Here is an 18156-nt window from a genome sequence, read left to right on the forward strand (position 1 = left end):
ATGTAATCTACTTTTAAGAACACTTATTTCTTTTTTTTCAAGTTTTCCAATCCTTATACTTATTACTACTTTTCTTTTTATTTACCGTGCTGGATAGTATCCCTGGCACAATACTGACTATGTCATTAGTTTTCATTGATTCTATGCTAGTCTTTTTTATGCTGAAAACTTCCTAAAACAAAGAGTGTGTGTATTTACTAATCTCTGTATTGACAGAAGCCCCATGAAAACTCAATAAATATTTGTTGAAAGAGTAAAGCTATCAATTAATTTTAATTTTAATTTTAAATGTTTTGCACAACAAGAATACCATTGTAAAGAAATCTGATGATTCAGCTAGGAATATGCTCCACTGAAAGAAACAGAAAACCTAACAAAAGTGGCTTACACAATATGGATGTTGTTTATTATATCATTCAACAAGAAAATGAAAGGTAAGTATCTGTTGGCATTGGTTCAGCAGCAGAAGGATGGTAGGCCAGATATATCCGCTATTTTTATGACCTTTCCCTTATGGTCACAAGATGACTGCTACAGCTCTGGGCATGACATCCTAGTGTAATAAAAGCAGGAAGAAACAGAGAAGGGGCAGCTAAGTCTGTCCTTTTGTGAGAAAGGCAGATACTTTACTAGATGTAACCAAAACTGACTTCAACTTAGTTTTCATTGGCAAAAACTAGCTGGTATGGCTATCTCAGGGAGCAATTAAGTGTGGAGGCAAAACACATGACCGTTGAAATTAATTTCAACTTATCACCTGAGACCGGTCTCACTGCTGCTTCACTGTGGTACTCTTATCAAGATAGACATGCTAGCAGATGTAAGTGCCTGCCACATGTGATTCACAATTTTGCCTACTGCTTTCTTAATTTCATCCTTAGAGAATACAATTAGAAATAAGCTGCTACAACTGCTAACCAAAGATCTCCTCCAATGTTTTATTAATTTTACACATGAACTAGGAGATATTCCATTAAAGCCTTTGTTAGGAAATCTGTTTAAACAACAGAATAAAAGGGATGACTTTGAGATAGAATTTTAGTGACATCTCCAGTTTCTGGTTACATGATATTGGTTAAGCTTCTGAAAAATCAAGTAAATCCACAAACTTTCCTGATATGAATCTAATCTCATTAATTTTCCTTTTCATTTAATCAACAAATATCAGCCAGTCTGTAAAAGCCCACTGAAAGGTCTCTTAATTTAGTAGTAGTCTTACCTTAGGTATGTTCCATATATGAAGAACAATCCCATCATTAGTCCATTTAAAATAAAGATTACACCAACATAAAAGCAAGCAGGATCTCGCAATCCTTTGAAAAAATACAGATAATCAGTGTTTAATGAATATATGACTCCAAAGCAAGTGGGCATAATTATCTCAGTGCTTTGCAATCAAGAGCTCATGAATTTGCTGAAAGCATTTGCTTTCCAGATTGCTGCTGTATTTAATTCTTTACCCTTATAAGAGTTTGTGTGTGTGTGTGCTTGCAGACACATATATATGTGTGTGTGTATATATATACACATACACATATGTAAGCTCACCCTTAATGAGCGATTAGTTACACTTATACTTTATACTTTTTATAATTGCATTTATACTTTCCTCTAATGAATTACTATTATACTGTAATGATTTGTTGGGGATTCACATTTATTTAGGTGATGCTGCTGGTGTTCAGTGTCTGGAACTGTCTGTAGAACCACTTAATGAATATAAAAGAAAATCCATTACATTATTTTTATCTTTTGCTACGTTCTAGGAAGAGTTAAGATATGGTTTTGACCTTAGGGTACAGCTTTAGTCTATATGAAATGATCCAGTCATTTGATCCATTATTATGTATAGCTAGGATCTTAGTATATTCCATATAGAAGATCGTGTGTGTGTGTGTGTGGCAATATGTACTTAACAATCATCCCACATTTTTCTCAGAACAAGTTTATGATATTAGCTGGTATAAAAATACTTTTCTTATGGTTGAGAAAACAGAACATAAGATACTCAACTTGTCAAAGGTTATTTCACTTTAACTGGCTGGAGCCAAGGTCTGAAAGCTGGCCTTCTGATTCCCCCTGCCTCTCTGATCGCTCCTTTCAGTCAGTTCTAGTAACTCCTCTTGTTTTATGTACCACTCTTTAATATTGGACCACCTTAGGCTCTGTCATATGCCCCCTTCATTTCTCCATCTGCACATCCTCCATAAGCAAATTCTTCCACATCCATGGCTCCAATGATCTATATACAGATGACTCCAACTCTACATTTAATCCAGAACTTTCTCCTTATTCTTATACCCAGATAGCCACTTGATGTCCCCACTCTGAGGTCTCTCAAGTACCTCAAATTCATGCATACACAATGAAACATAACAATACAAACCTGCTGCTGTTCAAATGTTTCCTATTACTCAAAGGAGCTCAGTTACTTAAGCTAGAAACCAAACTGTGTTTCACATGATTCTTCACTCACCTTCCCCTCTCTTACCAAACAATTACCAAGTCTTGTCCATTCTGCTTCCAAAATCTCTCTCACACCCAGGCATTTCCACATTATCTTTCCTGCAATCACTTGCTGAGAATATAATTGTCTCCTACCTGGCCTCCCTTAACCTACTTTTGTTCCTTTACTAATATTTTTTCCATACCATTGACTAAATAATGTTTTAAAATGGAACTCTGTTAAAATTCTTCAATGGATAAAGTATAAAATCCTACACCAGTGCACCCCTTTCATGATCTCATCCTTGCTTATATTCCCAGCACCATTTCACATCATTTTTCTTCTCCATCGCTTCTAGGATTTCTAGCCTTCTTTCAGTTCTCTCTTGCTTCAGGATATTTGAATATATTATTCCCTATTCTTAAAATACTTATCCTCTCTTACTCCTAGTGTCGGTAACCTTATTTTCTTATTTGTAATATCCATCACAGTTGTAACTGCTAACAGCCCCCTTACAGCATAAACTCTATGAGGGTAAGGCCCCACATCTAGCTGGTTCATCTCTGTGTCCCAAGTGCCAAACACTAACCTATCACTTATTGGGAATGTAACTAATACCATAATTAGGTGATCATTTTCACCACTCAGACAGGGTCACACCTTCTAGCTGATTGAATCATTGCAAAGTCTTTCATTTTATGAGGCATTTTCTCCAATCCTTTACATTGTACACAAAAAAGTATAATTGCCCCTCAAACATCCTCATCAATTCTATTTTTACTGAGGGAATCAGTAAAAAATGTAAGGAAAATAGATTTAGTTTATATCCCAAGAGTTGAATGTTGTTACAAACAAGTCTAAAAATTTATTCATAAAATATAGTAAGTCATGTTGTTAAGAATTTGAAGAAATAAAGAAAAAACAACAGTGTTAGTGTTATGAAAATAGATACAAGTGGCTCTGAACGAGAGTCTCAAGGGACAGCACCATACTTGAATTGTAAAAGTGCTGAAATGCAAACATCTTAAATGGAAGTGACCACTATGTATCCTGGAAAGCTGTTAGATGATTCCAAAAGCGGTTCTTTGACAAAGAAACCAATGTAGAAGATAAATAGGAAGAGTTTTATTAATACTACTCATGGACTATGAGCATATATAAAAATGTAATATTTCTAAATCAATCTATTATGGCATATCCAATTTTTAAATATGTATGCATAATTAAATTTATACATTAGCTATTACAAATAGCTATTTGACTATTTAATGTATCCTCAAAATTTATATATTGAAGCTACCCCAAAAAACATCTTTCTGTATCTTCTCATTCTGAAATAGAAGACTAACTTATAGTCAAGGTTGCCTTACAATGGGATATGTTAATACTCAAATTCCAAAATTTATACTCAAATTTTTAAGTACACAGCCTTCTCAGAAAACTACTTCAAAATGTAAAATACTCATTGAGGTGAGTCAGTTCTAATGTTTTTTAAATCAACAACAGAATTTTACAATAATTCTTAAAAGTGAATCATAATATTATTAAATGTTTATGAATGTTTACAAATGACAGCATTTTTGGAGGAAACATGCCTTCACAGCTTTGAACTTCATTAAGAGGTTCTATTCTGGTGACATTCCAGCAGGTCTTAGTTTCTAGTCCAAATAAATTCACTATTCCCATGAATGTGCGATACCAGGAGGCTATGATTACCTTAAAAAAGATAAAAACAAAGAGATAATTGAGGTAAATACATTCTCTTCATAATAATAATAATAATAATAATATATACCATGGAATACTATGCAGCCATAAAAAAGGATGAGTTCATGTCCTTTGTAGGGACATGGATGAAGCTGGAAACCATCATTCTCGGCAAACTATCGCAAGGACAAAAAACCAAACACCGCATGTTTTGATATTAAAAAGCTTTATAGATTCAATGCTCTACCAGTCAAAATTCCAACATATTTTTTGTTGACTTTGATGAGCTGATTTAAAAGTTATTCAGAAATGCAAAGGGCCAAATACAGTCAAGGTATTCTTGAAAAAGGAGGATTTGCACTATCAATTGTTGCTGTATTATAAAGCTAATGTAAAAAGACACTATGATATTGGCACAGCAATAGACAAATAGATAACTGCAATAGAGTAGAGACCAGAAGCAGAAATGTACATTTAGAAATGTACCATAACTCATATGGTTATGAGTTCCGTGGGCTCTCTTTGTGCCTCATTTTCTCAGATTTGGAGTTAAAGAGGCTGGCAATCCAGAAATGCCAATGGGCACTGCTATAGTTTGAATGTGTCCCATCCAAAATTCAGGTATTGAAACTTAATGGCCAATGTGATAGTATTAAGAGATGGGACCTGCAAGAGGTGATTAGGCCATGAAGACTCCCCCCTCATGAGTGAGATTAAAGCTGACTTACTCTCCTACTGTCTGCCATGTGAGGACACAGTGTTCCTCTCCTTCAGGAAGATGCAACATCAAGGCACCATCTTGGAAGCGGAGAGCAGCCTTCACCAGACACCAAATCTGCTGGCGCCTTGATCTTGGTCTTCCTTGGACTCCAGAATTCTTAGATTCCAGAAATGTGACATATAAATTTCTATTCTTTATAAATTACCTAGTCTCAGATACTTTGTTCAAACAGCACAAAACAGACTAAGACAAATATACAAAAAGTACCCAAAAAGTCAAAAGTAAAAAAAAATGTGGCTCTACCCCTACCATATAAACAAAGGCCAAGTGGGGAAGCTAGACTTCCACCTTCCCTGGGCTTTTTTTTTTTGGGGGGGGGACAGAGTCTCGCTCTTTTCACTCAGGCTGGAGTGCAGTGGTGTGATCTTGGCTCACTGCAACCTCTTCCTCCTGGGTTCAAGCCAATTCTCCTGCCTCAACCTCCCAAGTAGCTGGGATTACAAGTGCCCACCACCATGCGTGGCTAATTTTTGTATATTTAGTAGAGACAGGGTTTCACCATGTTGGCCAGGCTGGTCTCAAACTCCTGACCTCAGGTGATCCTGAAAGCAACAAGATGGTGCCTTCCCCCTTTTCCCCTTCCTTTGCTTGAGTGATACCAGAGGTATCTAGTTAAAATAGCAGGTTTAAACAAAATCCAGTCTCATAACATAATACTCAAAATGTCTAGGTTTCAAGTGAAAATCACTCATCAAGAACCAGAAACATCTCAAACTGAATGAGAAATAAATGGATTCCAATACTGAGATGAAAGAAATATTAGCATTATCAAGGATTTTAAAGCAACAATCATAAATATACTCTAATGAGCATGCTTAAAACAAATGGAAAAATTGAAAAGTTTACCAGAGAAATAGATAGTCTCAGCAAAAAAACAGAAATCAATACTAAGAACATCTCTCAAAACCACATAATTACATGGAATTTAAACAACCTGCTCCTGAATGACTTTTTGAGTCAACAAAGAAATTAAGGTAGAAATCAAGAAATTCTTTGAAACTAATGAAAATAAAGACACAACATACCAGGATCGCTGAACACAGCTAAAGCAGTGTTAAGAGGAAAATTTACAGAGCTAAATGCCCACTTCAAAAAGTTAGAAAGATCTCAAATTAACAACCTAACATCACACCTAGAGGAACCAGAAAAATAAGAGCAAACCAACCCAAAATCTAGCAGAAGACAAGAAATAACCAAATCAGAGATGAACTGAATGAAATTGAGACACAAAACACCATACAAAAGATCAACAAAACCACAAGTTGGTTCTTTGAAAGAACAAATAAATTTAATAGACCACTAGCTAGACTAATAAAGAAAAAGAGAGAGAAGACCCAAATAAACACAATCAGAAATGACAAAGGAGATATTACCATTGACCCTGTAGAAAAGCAAAAAACTCTGAGAGACTATTACGAACAACTCTATGGACACAAACTGGAAAACCTAGAAGAAATGGCTAAATTCCTGGAAATATATAACCTCCGAAGATTTAACCAAGAAGAAATGAAAAATCTGAATAGACCAATAACAAGTTCCAAGACTGAATCACCAATAAAAAGCCTACCAGCCAGAAAAAGCCCTGGAACAGGTGACTTCACAGCCAAATTCTACCAGACATATAAGGAGAGCGGATACCAATCATACTGAAACTATTCCAAAAACTTGAGGGATTCCTCCCTTACTCATTCTATAAAGGCTAACATCATTCTGATGCCAAAATGTGGCAAAGCCACAATGTAAAAAAGAAAACTTCAAGCCAATATCTCTGATGAACATAGATGCAAAATCCTCGACAAAATACTAGCATACTGAATCCATCAGCACATCAAAAAGCTAATCCACCACAATCAAGTAGGCTTTATTCCTAGGATGCAAGGGTGGTTCAACACAGGCAAATCAATAAATATGATTGATCACATAAAAGAACTAAAAAAACCCCCACATGATTATCTAAATGGATGCAGAAAAGGCTTTTGATAAAATTCAACATCCTTTCATTTTAAAAGCCTTCAACAAAGTAGGCATTGAAGGAACATACCTCAAAATTATAAGAGCCATCTATGAAAAACCCATAGCCAACACCATACTGAACAGGCAAAAGCTAGAAGCATTTGCCTTGAGAACTGGAACAACAAAAGGATGTTTACGCTCCCCATTCCTATTCAACATAGTACCGGAGGTCCCAGCCAGAGCAATCAGGCAAAAGAAAGAAAGAAAATAAATCCATACAGGAAGACAGGAATTCACACTATCTTTTTTGTAAACAATATAATTTTATACCTAGAAAGCCCCATAGTCTCTGACTAAAAGCTCCTAGATATGTCTTTTTAAAACTTCAGCAAACTTTCCGGATGTAAAATCAATGTACCAAAGTCAGTAGTATTTCTATGCACCAACAATGTCCAAGCTGGGAGCCAAATCAAGAATGCAATCTCATTCACAATAGCCACAAAAAAAGTAATAAAAAACTTATAAAAGAATACCTAGGAATACAGCTAATTAGAGAGGAGAAAAATCTCTACAATGAGAATTACAAAACACTGCTGAAAGAAATCAGAGGCAATAAAAACAAATGGAAAAACATTCTATGCTCATGAACAGGAAGATTCAATATTGTTAAAATCACCATATTACCAAAAGCAATTTACAGATTCAATGCTATTCCTATCAAGCTACCAATGACATTTTTCACATAATTAGAAAAACTATTCTAAAACTTATATGGATATTCCTTCAACATAAATAAGGTTAAAGTAAATAAATAAGTAAATAAAATAAAACACATATGAAACCAAAAAATAGTTCAAATAGCCAAAGCAATCCTAAGCAAAAAGGACAAAGCCAGAGGCATCATACTACCCAACTTCAAGCTATATTTCAAGGCCACAATAACCAAAACAGCATGGTGCTAGCACAAAAACACACACATAGACCAATGGAACAGAATAGAGAGCCCAGAAATAAAGTCACACACCTAGAACCATCTGATTTTCAACAAACCTGACAACACAAGTCAATAGGAAAAAGGACTTCTTATTCAATAAATGATGCTGGGATAACTGGTTAGCCATATGCAGAAGACTGAAACTTCACCTTTCTTTTCCCCATACACAAAAATCAACTCAAGATGAATTAAAGACTGAAATGTAAAACCTAAAACAATGAAAACCCTAGAAGAAAACATAGAAAATACCATTCTGGACATAGACCCTGGCAAAAATTTCATGACGAAGATGCCAAAAGCAATTGCAACAAAACAAAGATTGACAAATGCAACCTAATTAAATTAAAGAGCTTCTACATAGCAAAAGAAACTACCAAGAGAGTAAACAGACAACCTACAGAAAGGGAGAAAATATTTGCAAACTATTCATCTGACAAAGGTCTAATATCCAGAATCCATAAAGGAACAAATTGAAAGTAAAAAAACAACCCCATTAAAAAATGGGTACTCTGTGCCACTCCCAGTCATAGCCTCCCATGCCTTGCTCAGCTCCAACATGGCAAAAATCTCCAGCCCTACAGAGACTGAGCGGTGCATTGAGTCCCTGATTGCTGTTTTCCAGAAGTATGCTGGAAAGGATGGTTACAACCGCAATCTCTCCAAGACGGAGTTCCTAAGCTTCATGAATACAGAGCTGGCTGCCTTTACAAAGAACCAGAAGGACCCCGGTGTCCTTGACCACATGAAGAAACTGGATGTCAGCAGTGATGGGCAGTTAGATTTCCCAAAATTTCTTAATCTGATTGGTGGCCTAGCTGTGGCTTGCCATGACTCCTTCCTCAAGGCTGTCCCCTCCCAGAAGTAGACCTGAGGACCCCTTGGGCCTGGCCTTCAAACCCACCCCCTTTCCTTCCAGCCTTTCTGTCATCATCTCCTCCTCACAGCCCACATGTCCCCTGAGCCCAGCATACCTACCACATCATGCAGGCCCCACCTGTGGATAGTAATAATACAATGTCACTTTTTTAAAACATGAAAAAAAAAGGGGGTGAAGGACATAAACACAAATTTCTCAAAATTAGATATTTATGTGGCCATCAATCATATGAAAAAGGGTTCAACATCACTAATCATTAGAGAAATGCAAATCAAAACCACACTAACCCAATCGGAATGGCTATTATTAAAAAGTCAAAAAATAACAGATGCTGGTGAGGTTGTGGAGAAAAGGGGATGCTTATACACTGCTGGTGGGAATGTAAACTAGTTCAAACACTGTGGAAAGCAGTTTGGAAATTTCTCAAAGAACTTAAAACTGAACTACCATTTGACCCAGCAACCCCATTACTAGGTATATACCCAAAGGAATATAAATTAGCCTACCATAAAGACACATGCACATGTATGTTCACTGCAGCACTATCCACAATAGCGAAGACATGGAATCAACCTAAATGCCATCAATAGTGGAACAGATAAAGAAAATGTGGTGGTTCATATACCCCATGAATATTACACAGCCATTATAAAGAACAAGATAATGTCCTTTGCAGCAACATGGAAGGAGTTAGAGGCCAGTATGCTAAGTGAATTAATGCAGGAACAGAAAACTAAATACTGTGTGTTCTCACTTATAAGCGAAGCTAAACACTGAGTACACATGGACACAAAGAAGGGAACAATAGACACTGGGGCCTACTTGAGGGTGAAGGGTATGAGGAGGGTGAAGACTGAATAACTGCCTATTGAGTACTATGCTTATTACCTGGGTGCCAAAATACTCCATACACCAAACCCCCACTGCATGCAATTTACCTATACAGCAAACCCACACATGTATCCCATGAACCTAAAATAGAAGTTGGAAGAAGAAAAAGTGTCAGCAGAAAAATAGAACACATAAAGAAAAGTCAAAATTTTCATAACTCAAAAATAAAATAATCAAAATTAAAAACCTTAATGGATTGCACAAGAGGAGAATGGCAGAGATAGAAGAAAATAACCAGTAAACTAGAAGACAGAACCATAGAAATTACTCAATCTGAGCAAAAGAGAAAAAACAGATGCTAACAGAATAAACAAACAAAACAGCCCTAGGGACCTGTGGAACTTTAACAAAGGATCCTACATTCATATCATTGGAGTCTTGGAAGGAGATGGGAAAGAGGCAGGGCTGAAAAAGAATTCAAGGAAATAATTACTGAGGCTGGTCCCGGTGGTTCATGCCTGTAATCCCAGCAGTTTGGGTGGCCAGGGCAGGCAGATTGCTTGAGCCCAGGAGTTTGAGACCAGCCTGAGCAACATAGTGAAACCCCATGTCTACAAAAAATTCAAAAAAATTAGCCAGGCATGGTGGTTGCCCATCTCAGGAGGCTGAGGTGGGCGGATCCCTTGATTCCAGGAGTCAGAGGTTGCAGTGAGCTGGAGTCAGAGGTTGCAGTGAGCTGAGATTTCACCACTGCACTCCAGCCTGGGCGACAGAGTGAGATTCTGTCTCAAAATAAATAAATACATACATACATACATAAAAAAGAAAGAAAAAGAAATAATGACTGGACTTCCCATATATGGCAAAAGATATAAACCTAAATATTCAAGGAGCTGAGCAAATCTCAAACAGAAGAAATCTAAACAAATCCACACTAAAATACAACATACTTTAGAAAACATTTGAACTTTGAACATTATACTTTGATACACTTTTGAAGACTAAATTTTAAAAAATACTGAAACCAACAAGAGAGAAACAAAACCTTACTTAAAGGAGAAAAAGAATTCAACTAACAGCGGATTTCTCATTAGAAACTATGGAGGGCCAGAACAAAATGGCACAACACTTGCTGAATGCTGAAAGAAAAAAACTATCGACCCAGAATCCTATGTCCAGCAAAAATATCCTTCAGTAATGAAAAGAAACTGCATTCTCTAAGAAAAACTAAAAAAAATTAAAAAATTAAAAAATTAAAAAATTTAAAAATTAAAAAAAAAATGCAGCCAGCAGAACTTTTACAACAGACATCTATTCTAAAAGTGTAGCTAAAGAAAATCCCCTAAACTGAAATGAAATGATAAAAGAAGGAATGTTGGAACATCAAAGAGGAAGAAATAAAAAACATGGATAAAATAAAACAGGCTTTCACTTTCTTCCTGAGTTTATAAAATATGTGTAAAACTTGAGTTTAAAATAAGTTTGATGATTAAAACATACAGTAAAATGACAGCAGCAACAGATTGTAATAAATTGTGGTAATACAATTGCTAGAACCACTAAAAAAAGCTTTGTAAAGTGATATATTTAAAAAATAGATAAATCAAAATATAATTCTAAACAATGTTCAAATAAAATGTTCTGCCACAAGAAGGTTAAAATAAAAGCAAACAGAAATTGAAAACCAAGAATAGAAACCACAAAATAAAATCACAGACTTAAACTCTAACATATTAATAACTATATTAAATGTAAGTGGTCAATTGGTAAACATACCAATTAAGAGATACACTGACAAATTGGATTTAAAAATATTACCCAACCGTTTACAAGGAACTCGCTTCAAATATAATAATAAAGTCAGGCTGAAAGTGAAAGGATGGAAAATGATGAATTTATCATAGACACAGTAATGAAAAGAAAGCAGAAGTGACGATGCCATTATCAGAAAAAAGCACAAATTATCAGAGAAGGAAGAAAAAGTCATCGTTAAATTATTTTTTAAAAAATTCAACAAGAAGACCCTGCAATCCTAAATGCATATGCGCCAAACATAGAGCTACAAAATATGTGAAGAAAAACAGACGTCAACGGAGAAATGTACAAATACATAATTTTACTAGGAGACTTCAGAATCCCTCTGTCAAAAAACTAGAATTAGTATTTTCAACTAATTCTTTTAGTTGATAGAAGAACTAGACAGAAATTCCCCCAAAATTGAGACAAACTCAACAACACTATGCAAAAGACCCTGTTTAAGAGAATGAAAAGGCAAGCTACAGACTGGGAAAATATATTTGCAAGCCATATATATGAAAAATAATTAGCATCTATAATATGTAAGGAACATCCTAAGGTCCAAAATTCATAAAACAAACAATTCAAATAGAAATGGAGCAAAATACATAAAGACACGTTTCACATATGGATGGCAAATAAGCACAAAAAGATGTACACCATCATTAGCCAATAGGGAAATGCAAATTAAAACCATAATGATATATCACTACATATGTGTAAGAATGAGTAAAATAAAAAATAGTGACAATACCAAATGCAGGTAAGGATACAGATAAACCTAATTTTGGTTGTGCTTAGGTTGTATCCATTGACTACTGAGTATGTAGCACAAGGAAATTTGCATAGCTTCATTCATTCAACAAATATGATATTGAATCAACTCCATATTCCAGGAAGTAGGCACCTGGGATACAGCTAGGAAATACATAATGGGCATGGGAAAACAGTAGAAAACAAGGTCATTTGCTGAGAGTGAAAGGGGGACAGGAGGTTTGGGATAACTGGAGAGAGAAGATATGAAACAGGCATCAAGGGGTTAGCAAAAGTAAGGCTCAAGGACTATATCTGGATCTGTGGCCTATTTTTGTACCAGTAATGTGAAAAGGACATTGTTTGTTACCTTTCCCCCAGCAGTTTAAAATAAGAGAGTGTAAGACTTATAGGGGAGATAAGGAAGAGGGGGGTGGGTGGGTTTCATGCCTTTCTCTAAGTGGCTCCTGTTCTCCCAGGCTTTACCATGGAGGATGCTTTCTGAGCACTCTTGCTAATCTTTTGTCAGCACCTTATGAGGTCTGTGTAAAAATGTCTGTAAGCAATTGCAAATACCCTTGCTAAGCCACACTAGGCATTTAGCCACAGTCTGACTGGTGAACAATTTGAGCTGAATTCTTTACCATTGTGTCTAGTGGCATGACCCATGTAATTAAATGCTTGTTTCTGTTCTCCTTGCACATGCTTTATCTTTTTAATTTATTTTGGGTTATTTGATTGCCCTGTGACCTCAGCTCCCTGACTGCTTCAGGAAAAGTTGTAAATCTGAAGACTGTCTGGCTTTTGTTTTTGTCGCTGCTGACATTGCTGGAAGGCCATGAGCAATGTTCTTTTTAGCTTTCTACATCCAAGGGAAAGCTGACCCAACATGATTAAATCCAACTCTCCATTTTCTCCGTGTTTATACTTGGGAATCTGATTATAGCTGGAGGAACACAATTCTGTTGGCTGGTTTTGTTTTCATTTCAAGACCATCCACCTCAAATGAAGCCCTTGGTGCTGCCCAAGAAACTCACATTATATCCCTAGTCTATTCATTCTGTTAGATAAGAGGTCAGCAAGCTTTTCCTATAAAGAGCCAGACGATAAGTATTTTAGGCTTTGTGAGATAGTCTCTGTCTCATACTCTTTAATGTGTTTACATTTACCCCTAGGTTTGCATATGCATGTTTGGTTTGTTTATCTATTCATTCACGCATTTGTTTGATATTTATCCTTTTTGATGTTCTCTGAGTTTCTTGGATCTATGGTTTGGTATCTGTCACTAATTTTGGAAAATTCTCAGTCATTTATTTTTCAAATGTTTATTCTTCCTCATCCCTTCCTCTCCCACTGGGATTCTAATTATGCATATATTAGAATATCTGATATGGTGTCACAGCTTTTAGATGTTCTACCATTTCCTTCCTCCACTTTTTTTTCTCTTTGCATTCCTATTGACCTATCTTCAAACTCATTGATTATTTCTTCTGCTGTGCTGTGTCTGCTGATGAGCTCATGTAAGGCATTTTTTACTTCATTTTTTTTATTTCTAGCATTTCCCTTTGATTCTTACAGTGTCCAACTCTGCTAAAATTAGCTATCTGATCTTGCATATCATCTGTCTTTTCCATTTGGGTCTTTAAAATATTAACCATAGTTACTTAAATCTCCTGTCCAGTTGTTCCAATATCTGTACCTTCTTTGGGTCTGCCTGATGACTGCTCTGTCTCTTCGGACTGTGCTTTTTCTTACCTTTAGGTATGCCTCATAATTTTTGCAGAAAGTTAGACATGTTGTAGAAGACAGTAGACATAGAGGTCAGTATTTTTATGCTTGAAATTAAGAACATCTTTCTTACCGTTAGGTCTTTATCGTAGGGATTTGTGTTAATCTAGTTAGGGTGGGCTGGATTTGAAGTTTGTAATGGCTATAGTTACCAAAGCTAGAGTTTGTTGCCGCTATGGACACTAACGATTTCAAATTCCTCTAGTGGTACCTTGTTTTGAACTTGGTTTTGGGTTTTCCTTTGTGCTGCTCCCTAGAAAGAAAATGCCTGGCAAAACTCACTCAGTCACATTCCACTGTGATTTTTACCAAAGGCTTGTTAATGTAATGGGGGAAGAGTGACAGGTTTTCTGATGCTCCAATTAAGCCTCAATCTTAGACAGGTACTCTGAATTTGGGATTTGGGGGCTGTACCCTTCGTAAGTGTTCCCTCCTCAAGGAATATGACTGTTTTTTAACATTTAGGTTTTTTTTTTCCTGCCTGTTCTCTTTCACCAGCTTCACTGGATACCCACCAGTGTCCTCAGACAATGGGTTTGATACCGTTCTCCCTGCAGATCATGGCTTTCTTTTCCTTAGGAGAGATTTCACAACATGGATGTGAGCAGAGTCCGAGCAATGATTGCTTTTCCTGTCCCCTAGCCAGCACCATAGGGAAAGCTTTCTCTAAATACTTCCCCAATCTTCTCTGACAGAGCCTGCTCACCTTCACATTTCATACCAGCTCACACTAAGCCTGTAACAGTTCATTAAAAAATTTCTGGTTTAATCTTTGTACCAGCTTATATGGCATTCAAAAGCCCCTATCTCAGTCAAGCAGTTCCTATTCCAGAATGCTCAGTTCTTTGTGCTTTCTGCAGGCACCTGTTCTTCTTGAAATTTTGTGTTGGTTGTCCTCTGACCTCAGTTTTCTGAAGGGTTCAAGAAAAGGTGTTATATTGCAGTTTGTCCAGCTATTTTCCTTGTTGTAGGAATGAGAGTGCCATCATTCCAGCTCTCTTCATCACCAAATTGACACCTAAAGCCTCCAGAAGCTAAAAATATAAATTAAGAGTTCTTTATATATTAGGTGTATTAGCCCTTTATCTGTGAGATATATTACAAATATTTTCTCCTGGCCGGGCATGGTGGCTCACGCCTGTAATCCCAGCACTTTGGGAGGCCGAGGCAGGAGGATCACTGGAGGCCAGGAGTTTGAGACCAGCCTGGCTAACATGGTGAAACCCCGTTCCTACTAAAAATATAAAAATTAGCCAGGCATGGTGGTGCACATCTCTAATCCCAGCTATTCGGAGGCTGAGGCTGGAGAATCGCTTGAACCCAGGAGGCAGAGGCTGCAGGGAGCCGAGATCACACCACTGCACTTCAACCTGGGCAATGAAGTGAGACTCTGTCTCAAAACAAACAAAAAGAAACCAAACAAATATCTTCTCCCAGTTTGTCAACTCTCTTTTGATTTTATTTCTTTTTTAAACTCTGCCTTGTTTTGCCTTTCCCATAGAAACCCCAATAAAAGCGATGGCCTAGGCTTTACCCTCAATACTGCTTCTGCCTGACCAAACTGTCTCTCTCCTGTGGCTCTGTGTGATGTGACTTGTCCTCTTCTCCAAGGCAGTATTACTCATAAATTCTTCTTTAGCGGTACTGATCTATCTGTGTCATCGCTCAGTCAACCACATATATTAAGACCTAGGCACAGAACAATTCTATTTCTATAAAATTCTAGAAAATGCAAACTAAACCATAATGACAAAAAGAATATTAGTGGTTTCCTAGGGATGGGATGTGGGCAAAGAGAGACGAAAGAAGGAGGGATTACCAAGGAGCACAGGGAAAGTTCGGGATGGAGGGATATGCTCATTGTCTTGACTGGTGATGGTTTTACAGGTGGGCCAAAACTAATCAAACTTTACACTTCATCTATATGACCAGCTATCATATGTCAATTATACCTCAATAAAGCTGTTTAAAAACATTTAGGGTATATCTACTGGAAAGTAAAACTGCTTTTAATTACAGACTGTATCATCATGTGCATAGAAAAATCCAAAGGATTCTACAAAAAAGCTACTAGAACCACTGACTTCATCGAGATGCAGGTACAAAGTTAATATTGAAAATCAACTATATTTCTATTCAAAAGCAACAAAAAATGGAAAAATAAAAATTTTAAAATAATACCATTTATAATAAAAGAGTACTGGGGAAGACTGTACATTGAAAAAATACAAAACATTGCTGAGACAAATTAAAAATAATCAACAAAATGGAGATCTATACCATGATCGTGGATTGGAAAATTCAATATTGTTAAGATGTCAATTCTTCCCAAATACATGTACAAATCCAACATAATCCCAATCAAAATCACAGCAGGTTTTTTTTTTGAGAAATTAATAAGCTGACCCTAACATTTAGATAGAAATGCAATTTTAAAAAGGAAAAAGTTGGAGAACTATCTACTTTCAAGATTTATTCTAAAGTTACAGTAATCAAGACAGTGTGGTATTGGCATAATTATAGATCAAGAGAATAATAGAATCCAGAAACACATTCACATATAATGTGGTCAACCAATTTTCAACGATTGTACCAAGACAATTAATTCAATGGGGGAAAAGACAGTTACCACAATGGAGCATTTTTTGGCATTCTGAAAATGTTTTGTAACTCAATTGTGGTGATGGATATATAGTTTCATACATTTGTCAAAACTCAGAGAATGGTACAATCAAAATTGGCACATTTTATTACATGTAAGTCATACCTCAAAAAAGCTGATTTGGTGACAAAGATTTATATATGTTGTTGACAGAAGAACAAATCCAAATGCTTATTAAACATGGAAATATATTTATCCCCATAAATAATAAAGGAAGTACAAATTAAAACAAAAAGCATATCACAGCCATCATAAGAGTAAAAATCGCAGGGTCTGACAATTCAAAATCTAATAAGGATATGAGAAAATTCTAGACAGCAGTGTGAACTGCTACATTTGCTTCAGACAGCAATTTACCAATATCTGGTAAAGCTGAAAAAGCACACACTCTATAACAACAATTCCACTTCTAGGTATATATCCTAGACAAAATATTGCACATATACAGAAGAAAACCATACAAAAATGTACATTTTAGATTACATTGCTTGTAATCAAAAAACTGGAAATAATATATTAAGATGGGGAAATACATAAACTTTACAATTCATAAAATGGTTAAAATTAAAGAAATATATATATACAGAAAGTTCAAAAATACAATTTTGAAGAAAAAATCCTACAGTGACACATTCAGTATGAGATCATTTATGTGGACTTAAAGCATATAATAAAACAATCTCTGAAAACAGAGATTGGATGGATACGCACACCAAATTTTAATAAAGGTATAAGTTGGACTAGGAGCAGAACAAAGGTGATTTTAACTGTATTTATAATATTTTAATTATTTTAAAATAGCTGATGCAAAAATGACAAAGGTTAGCATTTATTTATTTTAGATGGTTGATCACACATATTTGAATATTATTTTCTAAGTCTGTAGTTTTAAGCATTTCAAAATCTAAAGAATAATAATTTTTAAAAGCTATAAAAATATGAATAAAGGACTAGAAAGCAGTAACTTTTCATTAATATGCTGGATTCTGAGACAACTTTAAACTCAACAGTAGTATTTACCATGGTGTCAAATTAAGCATTTATCTTGAGTTCACAAACTGAGTTCACTAATTTTGTCTCCGTTTTTCAAATTTCTAGCATTTATAGACTACTATAACAACCATACTCTTTTAGGCTAAGTGTTGGAAAATAGTAATAGATTTCTGGCTGTGTGACTAAATAAATCTTACTTTACTAACATAACTCCAAGATCACTATTCAAGCTCATCACTCCACTGTCCCTTCACGTGGTCATCGTGCTCACCCACGAGGTGTCCAAGGCCAAAAGCCCATCCCTATTTAGAACTTTTTGGCTCCCATGACCCTCTTTTCCATTTGGCTTGTCTATTACCCTGGCCATTATTTACACACTAAGGTTCATTCTTCGAGTTCATGAGAGAACTGTTTCTGGGGTCTTTAAATTTTAAGAGGAACTTATGATATTCTACTCAACTATAAGGATACATACAATTAATAAACCTGAAACGTCCCCTCCCTTTCTTAACAAGATTGTGCTTACTATTTTTATCTGACAAAGAGGATCACTCTACAAATATTATTTGTCTCA

General features: G+C 35.9%; 2 pseudogenes across 2 annotated transcripts in view; one reads left to right on the forward strand and one right to left on the reverse strand.

Annotated features, from left to right (window-relative positions):
- DPY19L2P2 (DPY19L2 pseudogene 2) overlaps nucleotides 1-18156 on the reverse strand; it is a 105454-nt pseudogene that overhangs the window by 78550 nt on the left and 8748 nt on the right. The window contains exons 7-9 of one of the 2 annotated variants that reach the window (NR_003561.2): nucleotides 4882-5030; nucleotides 4042-4162; nucleotides 1220-1313 (exon numbers count right to left, since the gene is read on the reverse strand). The product of NR_003561.2 is annotated as a DPY19L2 pseudogene 2, transcript variant 2 (transcript). The remainder of the gene's footprint in view (nucleotides 1-1219; nucleotides 1314-4041; nucleotides 4163-4881; nucleotides 5031-18156) is intronic. The other variant, NR_027768.1, reaches the window with a different exon arrangement.
- On the forward strand, nucleotides 8389-8918 carry S100A11P1 (S100A11 pseudogene 1; annotated as a pseudogene).

This window comes from Homo sapiens, chromosome 7 (genome assembly GCF_000001405.40).
Source record: "Homo sapiens chromosome 7, GRCh38.p14 Primary Assembly".
Taxonomy (NCBI): domain Eukaryota; kingdom Metazoa; phylum Chordata; class Mammalia; order Primates; family Hominidae; genus Homo; species Homo sapiens.